General features: G+C 39.6%; 1 protein-coding gene across 28 annotated transcripts in view; it reads right to left on the bottom strand.

Annotated features, from left to right (window-relative positions):
- The window catches only part of RAPGEF4 (Rap guanine nucleotide exchange factor 4), a 317,576-nt gene that overhangs the window by 30,733 nt on the left and 268,091 nt on the right, over positions 1–18,752 (bottom strand). For 25 of the 28 annotated variants that reach the window (NR_164739.1, NR_164740.1, NR_164741.1 and 22 more), the window contains 6 exons: positions 7,547–7,697; positions 5,724–5,812; positions 4,957–4,987; positions 4,657–4,735; positions 3,359–3,505; positions 1,446–1,543 (listed from right to left, as the gene is read on the bottom strand). Coding sequence is in view for 25 of the 28 variants with exons in the window: in XM_047443030.1 (XP_047298986.1) it covers positions 1,446–1,543; positions 3,359–3,505; positions 4,657–4,735; positions 4,957–4,987; positions 5,724–5,812; positions 7,547–7,697 (595 nt within the window). In the remaining 3 variants the exon portion in view is untranslated. The remainder of the gene's footprint in view (positions 1–1,445; positions 1,544–3,358; positions 3,506–4,656; positions 4,736–4,956; positions 4,988–5,723; positions 5,813–7,546; positions 7,698–18,752) is intronic. The other 3 variants (NM_001375868.1, NM_001375871.1, NM_001375865.1) reach the window with 2 other exon arrangements.

Raw genomic sequence — 18,752 nt, 5'->3', positions numbered from 1 at the left:
AGCACCCGTGCAGTAACATGTCACATAGCACCTTTAATGGGGCTGCGCTGAACTGGCTTTTTATGGCTTTCCTTTCCAGGAGAGGGCAGCACGACTCATTTATGACATTTTTTTCCCCAATCCTTCAGTATTGAGAAATATTTATTTAGAAAGCAATGAATGTAGATGACTAAAAAAATATACGGAAAGGCGGGAGGCAGACTCAGATCTTATAAGGCTGGTGATTGAGGAAAGGTGAGCGTGCTTATGGGCTCTGATGGATGAGGGATTAGCAGGAAAACTAATGCCACATTTGCTAAGTTCCTCTCCAAGTGAATTCAAAATATGGTAAAAATCCACCTATCCTCACTGGAGTGCACAAAATGGTACTCTCTAAAACAAAAAATCAGGATTATGATGAGCCTGAAACAACCTCTAAAAAGTCCAAGGAAGAGAATCTTGATATCTATAAGAGCTGATCTGATCAAACTTGAAACCTACTCATGCATCCCTTATGTAAACTCTCTCCCTAAAATTGGATGCAGTTTACCTCTAGCTCTTGTCTTGTGCCTTTCTTTTCTTTTCTTTGTTTTTGAGGCAGAGTCTCGCTCTGTTGCCCAGGCTGGAGTGCAGTGGCGCCATCTTGGCTCACTGCAAGCTCCGCCTCCCGGGTTCACGCCATTCTCCTGCCTCAGCCTCCTGAGTAGCTGGGACTACAGGCGCCCGCCACCACGCTCGGTCTTGTGCCTTTCTTAAAGGAGAAACCCCGTGTATCCAAAGACTGAAGAAACCAGTTTCTCTACCCTCTGAATTGGCCCTCTAGGCTTTCTAAGATATGTTACTAGCTACTCACCTACATACCAAATTCTGGTAGGAGAAATAGAAATGGATGCTACCACCGACTTAAAAGAGAGCAGGCTACTCAGTTATTAGTGTGGTCCTATTAGTCTTTTCTTCACAGAAAGATCTGTCTGTATGCTGGGTAACAAGTGTTTTTGGAGACTTAGGGAAGGGTCTGGACTTTGCCATTTTCTGCATAAGGTAGAGAAAGTGCTTTTGGGGAACAGCATTTCTCTTAGATCAGATGGTGGCTTTGCCATAATGCAAAGGAGCCTGATAAATAGTGATATCTTGCTTTAGAAAAATTATTTCCATCCTGGTGTAAGTATTCAGATTCTTAATATTTAAACTGGGGACATACCAATGAGGCGAATTACAACAAAGAGTTCTGAAAGCTGAATTATGCCCTAATAGTGGTGCTACTTGGCTAATTTTCACAAAAGAAAATCAAAAGCCCTGAGCATCTCAAATGAACACCTGAGGCTTACCTAATAGACTGCAGAAAAAGAAAAAGCTAAGTACCATTCAAGATTTTTTAGCCACTGGGTTCAGTGTGACTGCAAAATTAGGCTCCAGACAAGTTTTTCTGATTGCAATGCTGCTCTGAGCAGGCCATCCACACCTACCAGTGAATCGAATTGCTCTCGCGGGCAAGCAAACAGGCGTCCATTAATGGTGAGCGTCGTAAATACTGAAACATCATTAGGTTTGAGCACCACCTTTTCTGTGAACATAAAAAGCATGAGATTGCCTATTAAATACATCTGAGATTTGCTGCACTGCCCTAATCACACCAACAAATTGCCAGCTTGGTGAATTACCGGAACACGCAGAGTGACTGCATAAAATAGAGTACTGAAGGGATCCACGGAATAAAAAAGACGGCATTCATGCAGCCCTGCGCCACTCAGGATGCCTTCAGAAATGGCCACAAAAAGGAATAGAGATGCCAGAGGGTCAATTCACCCAGTTTTGTGCTGCAACCATAATTACTGAGCACATAAAACCCGCACTTGGCTATTTATCTCACAAGTTATGTTTCCAGATGGTAATCACACCCAGGACTTTGGACATAGAAAGATCACTTTTTAAAAACTTTGGAGGTTTCTGAGACCTCACATGATTTTAGATGCAAAATTTACTATTGTTTTTTCACTTATTCCCTAATTTGCAGGGCAATAGCATTAACTAGATTAAGCCTCCTCCCACATTAAAAAAATTAGTTCTTCAGATGAGAACATGTCAAAAAAATTAAAAAATTAGTTCATTTAATAAACATTTATTTTGTATTTACTGCATGCCAGAAACTGCTCCAGGCACTGGGGAGACAGAAGGGAACAATACAGAAAAAAAATCCCACTCCAAAAAGCATTACATCATAGTGGGAGATGCCAACAATAAAGAAAAGAAATAGATTACAGAGTGAGAAGGCAAGGAGAAAAAAATATCACAGGGGTGGGGTCTAGGAAGCTTGTGTAAGGGGAAGAAGTTAACATTTTAGAAAGGGAATGAAGCAAATGAAGGAGGGAGCTTCAGTGAGACACTGACATTTGGGTAAAGACTGAAAGAAAGTGAGGGTGAGACCTGGGATATCTATGGGAAGGTGACAAGGGGTCAGGGAGGGCAGACATCCTGGGCCTTGTGCAACTGGAGCAGAAATGGAAGGGAGATCTTAAAATCCAACATGCATTTAAAAATCCTCCATCAGTGGAATCATTCACCTTAAAACATGACAGAAATGGCTCACCTGTTCCTGAAGGATTCCGCCAAATGGCTGTCAAATCATGACTGGAGAAATGAACCTCACTGTTGCTTCCTCTAGTCTCTCACTACAATATGTGGTCATTCCTAAAACTCTTGCCAGCATGAACTGTAATTGTTTTAACTTACCGTCTACCTCCTCCCTGGCCTGGGAACAACCTGGGGACGTGAGCTGTGTCTAACTCATTCTTTCCTTCGTAGCCACACTGTGGCCAGTAAATATGTGATGAACGAATAAATGACATTTCAAAAATGCACCATGTAATCAAGGACAGTGAAAGGAACTGTAATCCCGTGGAGGAAAAATATTCCTCATTTCATTTGAGCCAGGCTCCTAGCCTCTCTACTGAGTAAGGAGAAAAACCATCATCAGCTTCAAAGAACTAGCTTCTGACCACTTCCAACTTTGGACTTGTAGAAACCCATGGCCTTGAGCTTGTCCAGCTAGATTTCCTCTTGGGGCCCATATTTTTCAGGGCTCCAAGGCCTAAAACTTTTTTGAATAGAGTTTAAATTGAAAGAACTCCAGGCCAACATCTACACGACAGTCCTCAGTTCCAGTCACCTTTCTGATTTAGAGTGGGTACCTACCAGATAGGGGACATTAGAAACCCAACCCACCTCTACCCATACTGTTTCTGTTATTAGTGGAAGCATACATAAGCACCAGTTCATCCTCTGGGTGAGCCTCACATGACCACGCTAACTCCTTACATAGTTTCTGCTTGGATGGAATGTCCCATTTTGCAGAGCCTAAAATATGAATTAAGACTGTTACCTCCTCCGGAACTCATCTTGACTATGATCAGGCCCTCCCCGGAGCCCAGCTTGTCGGCAACTGCACTGATGACTTCCTTCACCGAAGTGGCCACTGGCACCCGAATGGTTGTGTAGGTGTGGTCCATGCAATAGACCTTAAACAGAACTATCCAAAGGCAGTAACAAGGTAGTAAATCACTCTTAAGAGTTTTCAATAAAACTATAGTTATGAAAAATGTTTAGGCATCCTCTCCAATTTGCATCATTTTGCCATTTTTGTTACTGTATTTATTCATACTCATTTACCCCTATTCCTGCCCCTTCTAAACTGCTTACCTTAGCATTGGTCTAAGAATAGGTGCACATATGGTTGCCAAGTCCAATTAAAAGAACAAGAGATATTGGTGAAAACCCCACAAAGAGGTCATGGGAAAAAATTGAGAGTATCTTCAGGCTGATGTTCAGGGTCTGAAGTGCTATACTGTAGGCAATTCACAGATCACTGCTACCCTGTGTGGCAGTGGGGAGACACCATTCACCTCTCTGCACACAGGAGGGCTTCCGCCTGGGCCATGAGCACGTGCTGACACTCCTGCTCACTTGCTTCAGTGGCTTGTGTGCTTTGGGGCCAGGCCATGTAAGCTCGGATGCTATTTAGCTCAGCAGACTTAGATCAGCAGATCTGGATATGGCACCCAGAGGCTCAACTCTGAACACAAAAATCCTGGGAGCAATTCCCATTATTATATTATAATTCCTGGGTTTAGAGGCAGTCCTAAATGACAAGATTTATTTATAGCTTTAAATGAAATTTTTATCATTATTATTGTGACTATTTTTGGTTGTGATTCTTTGGAGAATCTTAAATAACCAAACAAAAGCCAGCATCTTGATCTTCCTGATGTAAAGCCTCCCTGCTCAGGGCTGGGCTCAGGGCCAGAGCATTGTCCCTGGGCAGGATGCTGGTGATCCATTGTCTCCTTGGCACCCACTAGGCGCCAGCTACCTTCCCACCAGCTTTTCCCAGGGGTGGGCAATCCTGACAACCAGGCCCTGAGATCATCTTCATTTCCTCCAAGGAAAGGGGTTAAGCAGGGAGAGGCCAAATCAGGGAAAGGTAGACAGGCATCTCGGCTTCAGGCACAAGAGTTTAAGGACATAAATAATCGGGCCACCAAAGGGCACCTCCAAGCAAACCATCTGGAGGGCAACAGGGCATCTTCAAAAGAAGCTATTCTGTGGGTCCAAGGTGATGCTTACCATTATCCTGACTAAATAATCTATACAACTACGAGTTAGTTGGAAGAGGGTTCTCACCTTCATCAGAGCCGCGGATAGGCTGGCGCTTCTGGGCTCTCTCATCGCCCGTATTGAACTGTTGCAAAAGAACCTTGTGCTGTAAAAACAACCACAGCAAGTGCCATAAGGGACAGTGACCAATGCATGCTAGCATCTCAGAGAAGACACATCTGAGAAGCAAGCAGAGTCAAGAAATGAAGACAATATATTTCACGTCTACAAAAAAGAAATCACTTTTATGTATACTGCAATATAATATTTCTGGGGAATTGTAATTCTACAGGACACAGACAGAGAATGCAAGTTCATGCCACCTACCTTCTTTTGTGGTGCCTTTGCATCTTCTGAGCTACGAGAAGTAGAGAAAGCACATTATTTAATACCATTGCTACTATTAAATTGCCTTATTTGTATATAACTAATCTTATGTTAGAAAATGAAATCACAATCACAGAATCCTTTCAGGAGACAATATGAGCTTCCTCATTTTAATAGTAATAGATCAAAGCAGAAGGGTAGACAGCAAAGATATCAGCTCTTGTCACAGGCAGATTCCTGGCAGAACCGATGTTCAAAGCCAGGATTTCTAGCTTTCAAAGTCTATCTAGCAGCACACTCACTCTCTGATACTGCATTTAATCTATAGTTCAAGTAATAGCATGTGAAAACCTTCTGGTTCATTGAGAGGACACAAATATTCACCACCAACAGCTTTGGCAGCAGTTAGTGAATTTTCCATATAAGTAGTTGCCCTCAAACTTTCTTTAAATGCCGCTGGCCATTTTATTGCCAGATTCACTGCCTTGAACCTAAGGGACCCAGGTTTATTGAGTTGGACTCCACCCAGGAGGATCTTTTCTTTCCCAGGCTATCTTTTGGCAGCCCTCTAGCACAGAATGAACAGAATCTCAGTCCTTCTGTTCCTCTGGCCTTACTGCACCACCTATGCCCTCAGCCCAGTCTGCTTAAATCAAATCAAGCGGGGCATGGCTATGGAAAGACCAGCTTTAACCTTTCTTGTGGGCAAAGGACTTTTTGAGATTTACTTGATGAAAGCACACCCCCACAGTCAAGCCCTTCCTTACATTTGCTTGACAATCTTCTCCAACTCTGGCAGTTGCTCCTTGAGGGCAGCAATCATCCGGGCATCATCTGATACAGATACATAAAACTCCTGTAATTGGCAAAAGTCACAGGCTTTTAACAAGAACTGCAAAAGGCACATGATTCTGTCAAGAGCAATAAAGATGTGTCCCTATGTCATCTGCTTCACCAGCATCTCCAGACCATGGCTTCATGGACTGGAGGAAGAACAAAGAAGAAAATGTTACACTATGTCTAAGTTCAAAATTGGCCATGAGAAAAAATTTTGGAAATAGTGGCAATCAATGACTGCACGGATATCAGAAATGAAATGAATGCCACTGAACTATACACCTAAAAATGGTTACAATGGGAAAATTTATATTAGATATCTATTTTACAACAATAAAAATTCAATTCAAAGTAAATTGCAGGTGAACTGTTTATATGATATTTATATGAAAGCCAATGTTTTGAAATGGGTCATTTTGGAGTCCACAAAAGAGTGCTTTTTTTAGTTCATTTTTCTCAGGGGAATTTTAATGTTCGTTTTCACATTATTTTGGTATGTATTGTTTATTGACTAGGTGTCACTCATTCTGGGTCATGGTTGGTGGTAAGATGCAGCATGGTCTTCAGCACTGTAGCGAATTTATGATGAGTTTGTGCCACCAACTCAGGACTCTCTGATGCCCTTCTGGGAACTGTCCTGACCCTGCAGCTGTAGGTGTGCCTGCTCTGCAGCAGAAGGTGAGAACCATGGCAGTGCCAGCTACACCACCACTTTAGTTCATCTACAAAATGGTCCTGTACTCAGCGGGTAGAGGCCATGAGTCAATGTATGACCCCAAGCTACCGCCATTCCTCGCATTTTCAAAATACTTCATTCCTCAGCTTGGAGGGATGCTCTCGGTCCATCTTTCCTCACTGCCTCGCACCTCTGGCTGTGAAATGATATGAATAGAAAGGAGAGACGGTGTATGTTTCTTTTGGATAATTTATAATTTTAGAACACAGACTGAAAAAGTTTGAAACGGAAGTAACATTGCCTTTTGCCTGAACAGAAGTCAGGTCTTCATCCAAATTTTGGAGGGGAGAGCGACTAATTGAGCTTAAATGTCAGAATCAGTGCTGTAATTTGGGGCTAGAGCTACGGGAAGGAACGGGGAAGTGCAGCTTTCAACAGTGTTTATGAACCACTTTCACAGCCTACCATTTCCAGTTCTAGCAATTCCTAAATAAATGATCTGCTCCACTCCACTCAAAAATATCTACCATTTGATCTAGTAATCCCATTTCTAGGAAGGTAATCAAGGACAGAATCACTTGCACAAGACTTTTTACCGTACTACTATTCTAGGAAGGTGAAAACTGGAAATGATGTGAACACTCAACAATAAGGGAACACATAAATATATCTGTGACATGGCTACTCAATGGTCATTAGATATTTTTTTGATTACTTCAGGAGATGTAAATAAATTTTTATTATAAGGACTGTACTGACAGAAAAATCCTTATATCAAATAAATGGAAAAAGCAGCCTGCAGAATGATGGGTGCTACGTGACTACAAGATAAAACATACAAAGAAAAAGAGACTAGATGAAAATACATGAAAATGCTACCCATTAGGGAGTCAGAATGGCAGAATAATGGGTAAATTTTTTCCTTACTTTTTCTGTAGTTCCTTTCTGATGAATGAATGTGTTCACAAAGTCTAGCATTTGCAATTACGGTCTCTCCAGGGAAGCTGCTGAGCCTATAAGTAGGTCCCTGTATTGCAGGACAACAGTATATTCTTGGAAGAGATGACCCCTGCCTACCTCCAGGAAGGCCATAGACACGTCATCCTCTTGCAGGAGGTCTCCATACATGGCAGCCCACTGTAGAACCAGGCGGATGACTCGCCTCTTATTGTTGAGGGCATAATCCATTTTCTCCTGTTCTGTACCTTGTGAAGGCTGTGCGTGGTAGGTGCCGAGGAGTCAAGGAAGAAATTGAGCCATTTCACACTCATTTCACATGCTACTTTCAAAGGTAAAGAGTGACAGATCCCAGCTTCAGAAAGCCAGGCTTTTAGATGGATAGAATTCCTCCCCTAGGCCCTCATGAAAAACCCCACAGAAAGTGTCTGTGCCGAATGCATGCAATTCCTTGTTTACTCCTGCTGACTCTGGCCTGATAGTTGCCCAAGGGATTAGACTTTCACAGACTCCTCCTGGACTTGGTGTGGACAAGGATTCTTGTGTCTAGCTCTAGCTGTCATTCTCTGCCAGGATCTGCCTTGCCCTTTGCTACTCTGGGTGGTAATGTTTCTTGCCATTGCTTCTCTCTGGGTGCATTTCCACCCGTTGTTGGTTTCCAAAATTCTGCCCGAATCTCTGTAATCCCCTTTGTTACATGCATTTCAGTAAAACTGAATGCCCAGCAGGGCATCTAGTCCTGCTGGGACCATGGCTGATACAAAGAGTGCATGGGTGGGCAAGAGAGGCTGGAGGTAGATAAACTCACCCAGAGGTAGGAAGAGGAAAGGCTCCTGCTGTACCAATTCTCTGGTGAGGGCCTCAGACACATTTTTACACCATATCTTCTTCTCTTGTGTAGAACCATGACTTACCTTACTGGCTCTTTGCACATTTATGGCTACCATCTTAATTGTAAGCACCTTGAGGCTTGGGATGATGGTCATTTGTCCTGTATTCTACACTACGCCTAGGATACTGACTTTCACCCAGAAACTGTATTTATTCATTAATGCAACAAGTACTGATTGAGAGTCTCCTATGTGCCAAGAGTAAAGGTCCCTGGTCCATTCTTGTATGCTCTACAGGAGGCACAACATCACAGGTAATCAAGAAATATTTTAGGTTAGACACACCATTCCTTTTTCAATGATTTATAGTTCATATTATAGATAATTAGTTCATAAAACAACTTACTCTTCACTATTTACAATATAACTTGCACACAAAGTACTTCACTTCAACTCCACTTTATAGCCTTGTGATGAAAGTGTCGCTCCATTTCTATAAGTGAACAAACTGAAACTAAAGAAGCATAAATGGCCAGGATTACAGAGTGAGAGTGCAGAGGTTGCGAATGCAAGACTCCTGATGCCAACTAGTGTTCTTCCCATTACCCAAAGCCCCCATTCCTCACAGCGAGCTACAAGACTGGCCCTGTCTTAGCTTCCTACCCTGCCTTGAAAGACGTAGAAAACTGGCTTGTGACAGTGCTGTGCTTGAGAGCTAAACCAGTAAAGAGCCTTGTCTAAAAGGACTATAAATAATCATGATCAAGGTAAATGACAGAACTTTAAGGCAAAGGTTTACTGCATGTAAATGGGTTGCAAAATGGCTTTCATAAATTGAGCACGAGATTCATAAAAAAGAAAATTGCTCAACCTGTATTGCTACAATCCTCTCTCAGCTCACAATGAAGAAAGGAAGAAAGATCGCTTTATGTGAAAATTATTTCTTTTCTGATTAACTCTTTGGTCTCTTGCTTGCATGCATTTATAACTGAGTTTTTCTTTCCAAAGAGTTGCAATGCTGGACATTATATTTTATGACCATTTTTTAATGGCACGTAGGAGCATAGTCAGATGCATGGTAGGTACCAAATAGGAAAGTCTTGACTGATTGAAAAATATGTACTGGTTCACCCGAGAGTGGGAGGATCTGGGTTCAAGTCCTCTAGCTGCCACCATTTAGCTATGTGATATTGTGTAAGTCACTTAGCCACTGTAGACTTCCATTTACTCTCCATGAAATGAGGAGGTGAGAAGAAATCATTTCCAAATTCTCTTTCAGCTACCGCATTTAATAACGCTAAGGCAAGGTGAACCGAAGGAGAATCAGATAGGTGCCACAAACTAACATAATGAAAATACAATGCTACGTTGCCACTGTGCTTTCTTTGGTTTAGTTTTATGGTATCTTGTGTTTGTGCAGAAACTTGGATGACATCAGGCTTTGGCAGGTGCTATCTTTTTCATTTCCATGGCATAGGAGCCAAATGGAGAAAGTAAGAATGGCCAAGGTGGGGAGTAGGGGTGTGGGCTGAGGAATGCCAACCCCTATAAATGTAAGAGTCAGTGGAGATTCTGAATTCTGAGTACGGTATGTGTCAAAGCTCCCATTAGGCTGGGCTCGCTCCCTAGACTGCTGTCCCAAATATCCTGATGCCACTATGGACCATGCGTGTTCCTCACCGGGTACCTGAGGCTAGGCTTCTTCCCTCTAGTCCCTCTTCTAAGTCTAAGTGATAGTGCCTGTGAAAGACAACCTTTCTGATGGCCTTGTACTGTGAAAAATGAGCAAATTTAATTCTCTCTCAGATCATGCCAATTTAAAAGAATGTCACACTGTGCCCTAAGTTACTCTATAAACTACAATCTTAAAAATATTTCACTACACATGCAACATGAGCATATTTTGAATCACTCAAAGATGGAAACAGCATAGAGAGGAAAGGGAAGCTTTTACTGAGCTGGTAGTAATAGAGTGGTGAACACTTAGCCTCAATTTAGAAAAATAACCCCAAGATAGGACAATTAAGGTGCTAATGTGGTTTTTTTTTTTTTGAGACGGAGTCTGCTAATGTGGTTTTTAAGAAATAAATATATTTTCAAATGAATTAATATGCTTTTCAGAGAAAATACATCAAAATGCTTTACAAGTACTTAGGCAAAGAAACTATTCAAATTGATCCAATTGATTCACTAATTATTAATTAACCGACTACTTTGAGTAAAGCACCATGCTAGGTTCTGGTGATACAATGGGCACAGTCCTATTCATCTGAAATATTACATTGGACAACATGTTGGAAAGGAGGTATTCACATGTGTAAGAGAGAAAGGAGGAGTGGGGGGAGAGAGAGAGAGAGGAAAGATTCTTTCCTACTTGTTATGATAACATGTGTATAGAGCTTTACAATTCATAAAATAAGTCAATATTCTTATGCTATCAAATGATGCTTTCTACAAACCTGAGGAGGAAATATTTACCGGTGGGGAAAAGGAGATTCAGAGAGAAGAGATCTGGCCAAGGTTGTTGAGTGAATAAATGGCAGGGCTTGCAAATTCAGACAGGGCTCTTTCCACTATTCCCACCCCCACTATCCTAACCAGCAGCTATAGCAACTAGACCTTAGTGCTTGGGTTCATGAAATTATTAAGAATAAATGCATCTGGAAAGCAAAAAGCCTAATGGGAAAGAGATTCCGTGTGTGTGTGTGTGTGTGTGTGTGTGTGTGTGTGTGTGCGCGCGCGCGCTGAAGTTCCAAGGTTCCCGCAGCTGATTCAGCATGTTTAGTCACCAGGGCTGAGCACCCCTTGTCTTTGATGAAGAACCCCACAGCCTCTAGGGAGATAGAATTGACCAAATCCGGAGGGACTGGGAAAGGCTTTCTCCCTTTTCTCACGAAAGTTCAGTATTTTTACCCCTGGGAAAATAAAAGGAAGCGCTGACTTATTTCACAAAGTCTCATTTGTCCCCTCATGGATGTTTATTTACTAAAGTGAGGGTGGGGGTGATACTTCTTTTATAGCTGAATCCAGGCATTGCTAAAGGATTCTGCTCCTCCAGAGGCAACACATAGGGTTCCCCTTCTGAAATGTCTGTTGAATCAGGTTCTTAAGAAACACAGAGAGAACTTTGTATACAATTGATTATACCTGAAATGGTTACAGATCAGATGCTGATGTTTCTATTCATTCCCATAACAATCTCCCCAGGCTTTTAGAAAGTTTGTAATTTTTAGCTTTTATTTAACTCCTACAAAAAAGGTAGGAAGGGGGAAAAACTATATTCCCTTCAGGTAGCAGCCAAGGAATAAAGAATATCCTACTAGTTCCCTTGTCTCAATATGATGTCAAAAGTGCAATCTAAAAAGAGTAACATTTCAAATACAGCATGTTCATAAATTCAGACACATCAGGAAGGTTGAAGAAGCCGTCTCTGGCTAAAATTGGAATAATGCATGATCAAGAAGTGCTTTTATTGAATAAGGCCATGACTCATGATATGACAGTTGGGTCCAGGAAAGAAGCAATATGGCTGCCTGAACTCATAGGGAAAGAGATGCAGAAAGACAACATGGTTCCTATATCTCATAAAGTTCTAGTTTTTTAAAAGTCTGTAAGGCAATCTAAAATTACTTACTGAATTAGTATTTTAAACACCATTAAGGAAAGGCCATATAATTTAAGTGGCCAAACTTATCACTGACACATTTGAGTTGATTTCAGGTAAGTCATGGAATCACAGGATCTCTGTTTCAAGAGCCCTTTGATTACATTTCCTTCAACTCCATCACCTTAGAGGTAAGAAAACTGAGGCAGAATGAGTTTAAGTGATTTTTCCAAATTTATCAAAGGAATTCTTGGAACTAGAACTCAGTTCTCTTATTTTCCTCCCCAGTACTCTTTTTACCTATGTTGTTGTGTTTTGTCTGATGTTAACATTACTTTCTTTATGCAAACATAGATTATACAGCAGAGTCAGATGACTTCAAAGTTTGTTGGGAAATAGGAAAATCCATCTGAGATGTAGAAATTGATCCCCCAAATCCTGATAACAAAGCACATGCAGAAAATCAAGAGTTAACTATTACAGCCTTCATAATCTGATAGAGAGGCACAGAAATCGTTAATACCTGAACGAGATCCCATCTGCTATAGTTTAATACCTGTCAATTAGGAAAGCAGGGGCTCACTGCGACTGAGCAGACACTGTTAAATCTGATCATTCAAATTCCAACTTGAAGTTTTGCTTACACAGTTGAGTATCTCTTTTCCCAAAGGCTTGGGACCAGAAGTGGTTTTGGATTTCAGATTTTTTTTTTGGATTTTGGAATGTTTGCATTATACCTACTGGTATGAGAGCTAAAAAAACTTCGAATTTTGGAGCATTTTGGATTTTGGATTTTCAGATTAGGAATACTTAAACTGTAATAAAGTATTTCTCACCATCTGGAAGCATTAAATCAAAATCCTTAACAGAAGGAACGAGGTCGTAAACTCACTGTTAATTCCTGCACTTTCTAGCTAAAGACTGGGCACACAAAAGCCTTCAATATTTTTTAATCAACTGATTACAGATAATTTATTTGCACTGTTTGGAATGCTGTATCTAATGCACTTTTCTAAAAAAACAAAAAACCTTTAAAAATATCACAGCTATTTAAGAGCCTTTAATTAAGTTACCCGGAATCCCATCTTGTCAAGATGTCAAATACAGATCAGAGGTACATTCTAAATAAATTCATAAAGAATTTAATTGTAAAACATCTGGTACATCTTTTAAATAGAATCTTTCAGTTATTGGGTATTTAATCTACAGGATGACAAACTTTCAGAGTGACTAAATCTTCTCGGAACTGAACCACCTCCTTCAGCATTGTGTACATGTGACTGAGAGCAGATTGGATCTGTTTGCAGTGAGGCTTTAGGGCTGAGAATCAGAAGAGGTGAAGGCCACAGTGTAGGCTACAGTTTTTCTACCCTGCCAACATCAGGCTTAATATTCCATTGAGTCATTTTCCTCATGCCGGCTCTGCCGTTCAAACACTGTAATTATTTCATATATTTTTACCTAGTTATTATCTTACTCACCACAGGCACCTGTAATTTTTCTGTACTTTTTTTTAACTGCTCATTTACTTATTCTTAATTCAGCTAATAATGGTTCCATGTATTAAAATTATCATGGGGAAAGTAAGTGAAAACCTCCCAGGATGTAGAGGCAGCAGATTCATTACAGCCTACAACAGGGAATAAAATATTATGTATACTTTTTGCAGTAAGTACATGCTAATTATGCAGCTATTTATAAAACACTTAACAACATTCAAACTGATACTCTTCAATGTTGTTGTTTTTTAAAACCCTGCTTTGCATACAAGATCTCTGCTTGCAGCTGAAAACAAACTTTGGGGGTCATCTGCCCACTGACAAGACAAAGCTTTTGTATATTCTTTATAACATGCCATATTCCTCTCCTGATGGTATAATAATAACAGCAACATATATATGGGACTTTAAGGTTTATAACGTATGTTCACACACATAACCTCATTTGATTTTCACAACAACCTGGTAAAGTGGGTAGGGCAAGTATAATGTATTAGTCCATTCTCACACTGCTGTAAAGAACTGCTCAACTCTAGGATAATTTATAAAGGAAAGAGTTCCACAGGGCTGGGGAGGCCTCAGGAAACTTACAATCATGGTGGAAGGGGAACCATCATGTCCTTCACATGGCACCAAGAAGGAGAAGTGCCAAGTGAAGGTGGGAAATGCCCCTTATAAAACCATCAGATCTCATGAGAACTCACTCACTATCACGAGAACAGCATGGGGGGGCCACACCCGATCTAATCACCTCCCACACAGTTCTGCCCCCAACACATGGGGATTAAAATTCAGATTACAATTCGAGATGAGATTTGGGTGGGGACATAGAGCCAGACCGTATCATATAATTACCCCTATTTTACAGAAGGGGCTTGGAGAGGTTAAGCATAATTGCTGAGTAATATAGCTTATAGGACACAGGTCTTAAACACAGGTCTTTTTACTTCAGAGCTTTTGCTTTTTTTTACTATAATCTGGGCTTCTTGTCTTTGTGGAGCAGCCTGACATTCTGACCACTGCGTCTATTTCTTCCTTCATATGGCATGTTCATAAAATGCAAGTTCTGAAATTACACTACTTAGGTCCCATCCTGGCTTCCCTACTTATATAAAAACTGTATGATCTTTGGTAAGTTAATTGACCATTTAGAGCCTTGGTTTCCTCATCAGTAAACTTCATAAGATTGCTGTCAAGGATGAAATGAGATAATACAGGTAAAACATGTATCTGAAACATATTAAGTATTCAGTAAATCTTAGCCACCAATGTTATTACTGATTCTTCTCTGGAAGTCATTTAAAATATTTTCAATGGACTGTTGTGGAATTTTTCATAAGACCTGGCATTTCTGGGTTTAAGTCTGTGATGTTACTCCTATCCACACAGGCTGCTCCTTTGTTTGTGTGTACCTACTAACTTTGAGCTCATAGGAGCGCCTTCTGTACCATCAATTTCTTTACATATCTCCCATTTTCTTGCTCAGAATATTTTTCCCACTGATTTTCAGAATCCTCTGTGTTTTTAGAAGTCTCTAGTTCCTGGCTATTCTCCTTTTAAGTCTCAAGCCAAGGGCTTGTACTCATAGCACAGCAGTTAGGACGTGCCCTAATGCAATACACTGCTTGGGTTCAAATCTTGTTCTAACATTTACTAGCTAGGTAGCTAGGGGCCAATTACCTAGCTGCTCAAGCTCACTTTCCCTATTGTGAAAAACAAGACTAAAAGAGTACATAGTGTTGATATGAGGCCGAGAACATGTATATGAAATATTTTTTAGCATATCTGATGACAGTCATTTTTTTCCCAAAAAGCATATCATGTTCATAACATCACCAAACAAAGTCTTCCTCATGGAAACAAACTCAAATTGCATATCTGCAGAAGCAAATTCCTCTGACGGTGACATATGGATCAAACACTTTTCAGAATCAGATGGGGACTATGATGACAAAATCTGGTTTCAACAAAATTTAAGTTGAAAGTTTTTCTTAGAAATCTAAAAAATGTTCCTAAAAACTTGGCTTCATTTAAAGAATATGAACCTGCTGCTATTATGTGAATCTTTCATCAAAAAGAAAAGCAGATTTTGATAAATGTTCCACTTATAAAACCCAAGTCAACTTATAAAGAGAACATCTCCAGATCAATTTCACAAAGATTTTTATGACAGGGACCCTAATTTTTCAGTGAGGGAAGCTGTTGTGTTTGCTTCTATACAGGGATGAAACACAGAAAAGGTGGATTTAGCTAAAACTTAGTGGCAAATCCATGTTCTATATTTTTTTCTTCTTAATTCAAGAAACTAAACTCATTATTTCCAGGCCAAAAGCACAAAATTTGTGTTGAATACTAAGCTAAAGAAAATTAGTATACTAACAAAAAAAACTGTCCAAAATTATTGCTTTTTAAAATTTCTGTAAGTTTAAATATCAGCCATTCATACTTAAGATTCTTTTAGCTGCAGTAAGAATCTGTCCTAAACAACAAACACCTACATTCATTGACATAAAAAGATAATCTATTGGCAGAGTAAGCTTCAGGACCAGTCAAATGCTAATGATGTTATCACAGACCCCTGTTTTTCCTGTCTCCTCATTTCAGCTTTATCTTGGGGTTCATTCCCATCATGGTTGTAAGATAGCTGCTGCTGGCAATTGGAGTTATAGGCTTCCTGTTTTTTTCTCCTAAATGTTAAAAAGGTTTTCACCCAAAAGCCCAGGAAGCCTCTCTTTGAATTCCATTGGCCCAGTCTAGCTAGAGTCTGGCGTTGCAGAACCAGTCTTTGGCAAGTGAGGCTAATTACTACGAGTGGCTAGAATACCGAGTAATAAGGCATGAATGTTGGCAAATCAACCACAATGTCCATTACATCAGTGCTACACGGACTTCCTCCAAATGTCTACCAGTATATGCAGGATCTCGGGCAGTTATTAGACCTCCCTGTACCTTGATTTCTCCTATATGTGAAATGAAATAAATACCAGGCATGGTGGCTCATGCCTGTAATCCCAGCACTTTGGGAGGCCAAGGCAGGCAGATCACGAGGTCAAGAGGTCGAGGCCATCCTGGCCAACATGGTGAAACTCCATCTCTACTAAAAATAAAAAAATTAGCTGGGTGTGGTGGTGCGTGCCTGTAGTTCCAGCTACTCGGGAGGCTGAGGCAGGAGAATTGCTTGAACCCAGGAGGCGGAGGTTGCAGTGAGCCAAGATTGCGATACTACACTCCAGCCTGGTGACAGAGCAAGACTCTGTCTCAAAAAAAAAAAAAAAAAAAAACACAAAACAACAACAACAACAACAAAAATAATATACCAGACTTTTTTGCTTTACATTTGGAGAACTGGTGTTGGAAAGATAAAGTAAATAATGTGAAAATACTCTGAATCAAAGAGAGTTATTAAAATTCAAAATAGTATTGACTTCGTTGTGATCACTTACTAAACTGAAGGCCAGCCTGGAGTTGTACAAACAAGAATATGGCAGAGTTTAATCACAAAGCACTAAATTGAGACAATAGGAGAGTAATTTGGGAATACACATCAGAAGCATTAACATACTACATATTCTTTGCCTATTTTTAGGAATTTAAAGTGTGTACATTTTCATATACATGAGCAAAGATTTAGCTGGAAGGATGCTGATTCACTCCATTGTGTTTGTTATAGCAAAAAAAAAAGAAAAAAACCGTGGAAATAATCTAAATATCCAATAGGTAGAGGCTGAGAAAATAATTATGACATATCTATTAATATAATAGTCATTAAAAATGATAATGTGTCTTTCTCACATATCTTTGCCCCCTTGTTGCCCAGTACTCTATGTGACACATTTCCAGTAGTCAGTAAATGTTTATGGAAACATCTAGAAGAAAAAAAAGATGATGCAGTTTTATCTATATATATATTAGTTTGGAAAGATATTCACAATATACCACCAAGTGAAAAACAGCATATTACCAAAAAGCACATGTAACATTATTTAATTTATATAAAATCTTATGAACATAAAAATGTATATATAAATTCTAAAATTTTAAAAACAAATTTATTAATGGTGGTGAGATGCCAGGTGAACTTTGCTCTCTTCTCCTTTTGTGGTAATTAAAATTTTTTGTAATGAGAATGTTTTATTTTTAAGGATGACAACTATCTATATTTAGAAAAATGGCATAGAAAAATAATGACATAAAAAGATAGTCACAAAATATTGCTTAATTAAAAGGTATACAAAATTATTTACAGTATGATCTCATTCTTACATTTAAAAACATATATCTATATGTATAGAAAAAAAGACTGGAAGGATATACACAAAATGGTTAGCAATAGTACACCTGAGAGGTTATAGGGTTATATACAGGTGGTTTTAATTTTCTTTTGAAGACTAAAGGAAAATTGAACTCAATTTTAAATGCAGATTTAAAAAAGGATTAAAGAACCTGGAGATGAAAAGTATAGAAATTGAACAAATATGATTTTCAAACTCATTATAAAGTACTTGTATTCATCGGGTCAAATCATGTCCAAACTGTGTCTAATGAATAGAGAGTCTCTCTCATTAGCACATAAAAGGCCTGATATATTAATGTTCAGCAGAGTTCTACTATCTTTCTCCATGGTAAAAGCAAAACTGGAAGAGACACACAATGTGGATTAAGAACAGAAATACGTGTCAGTAGCTCAGGGCTCAAATCTTTTCTCTGCTAGTAATTACCTTTCTCTGAGCAATTCATAAGTTTTCATTATTCTAGTTTATTGATTTAGAAAAATAGCAGTAAAAATACTGACTTCTTCATAGGGCTGCTATGAAAAGTTCCAGATGTTAAGCACTTTAAAAATACTCCACTAAAGCAACTGACTAATGAAACATAGTTAAGTATTTTACTATCCCTAATATCCCACGTTAAAAACATAGGGGTTAAACCACTTGTTCAAGTTTGCATTATACATCCCTGTTGCTTGCAGGTGTTCTGTTAAGCAGTTTATGATGCAATATAGTGTCTTGAAATGTTCTTAAACTCTAATTAAAGGTTACAGAATCATTAAAATTTAAACAAGCTTTCAAATAAATAAGTTGTGAAGAGAGAGAGAGAAAAAAAAAAGGCAAACTCCAGGTTTGGAATCATCTGGAGAACTCAGCTATTTGCCCTGGGCAAGCCACTCCTTTTTTGTTTTTTTGTGGGGGCTGGGGGTAACTTCAGGACCCTGATTTGTAACACAAAGCTAATACTAACCCAATAGAATCCTGCCAGGATAGAGTGGTATAATATTGGTCAATGCTCTTAGCATGCACCTGACACAGACAGAGCTGATTCAAAATAGAACAGTGAAGAGAATCTAAGTTCCCACAGGGCCAGATATGAGCCAGGTGGTCTGAGGGACCTAGATA

This window comes from Homo sapiens, chromosome 2 (assembly GCF_000001405.40).
Source record: "Homo sapiens chromosome 2, GRCh38.p14 Primary Assembly".
Taxonomy (NCBI): Eukaryota; Metazoa; Chordata; class Mammalia; order Primates; family Hominidae; genus Homo; species Homo sapiens.
This window is presented reverse-complemented; position numbering and strand designations above follow the sequence as displayed.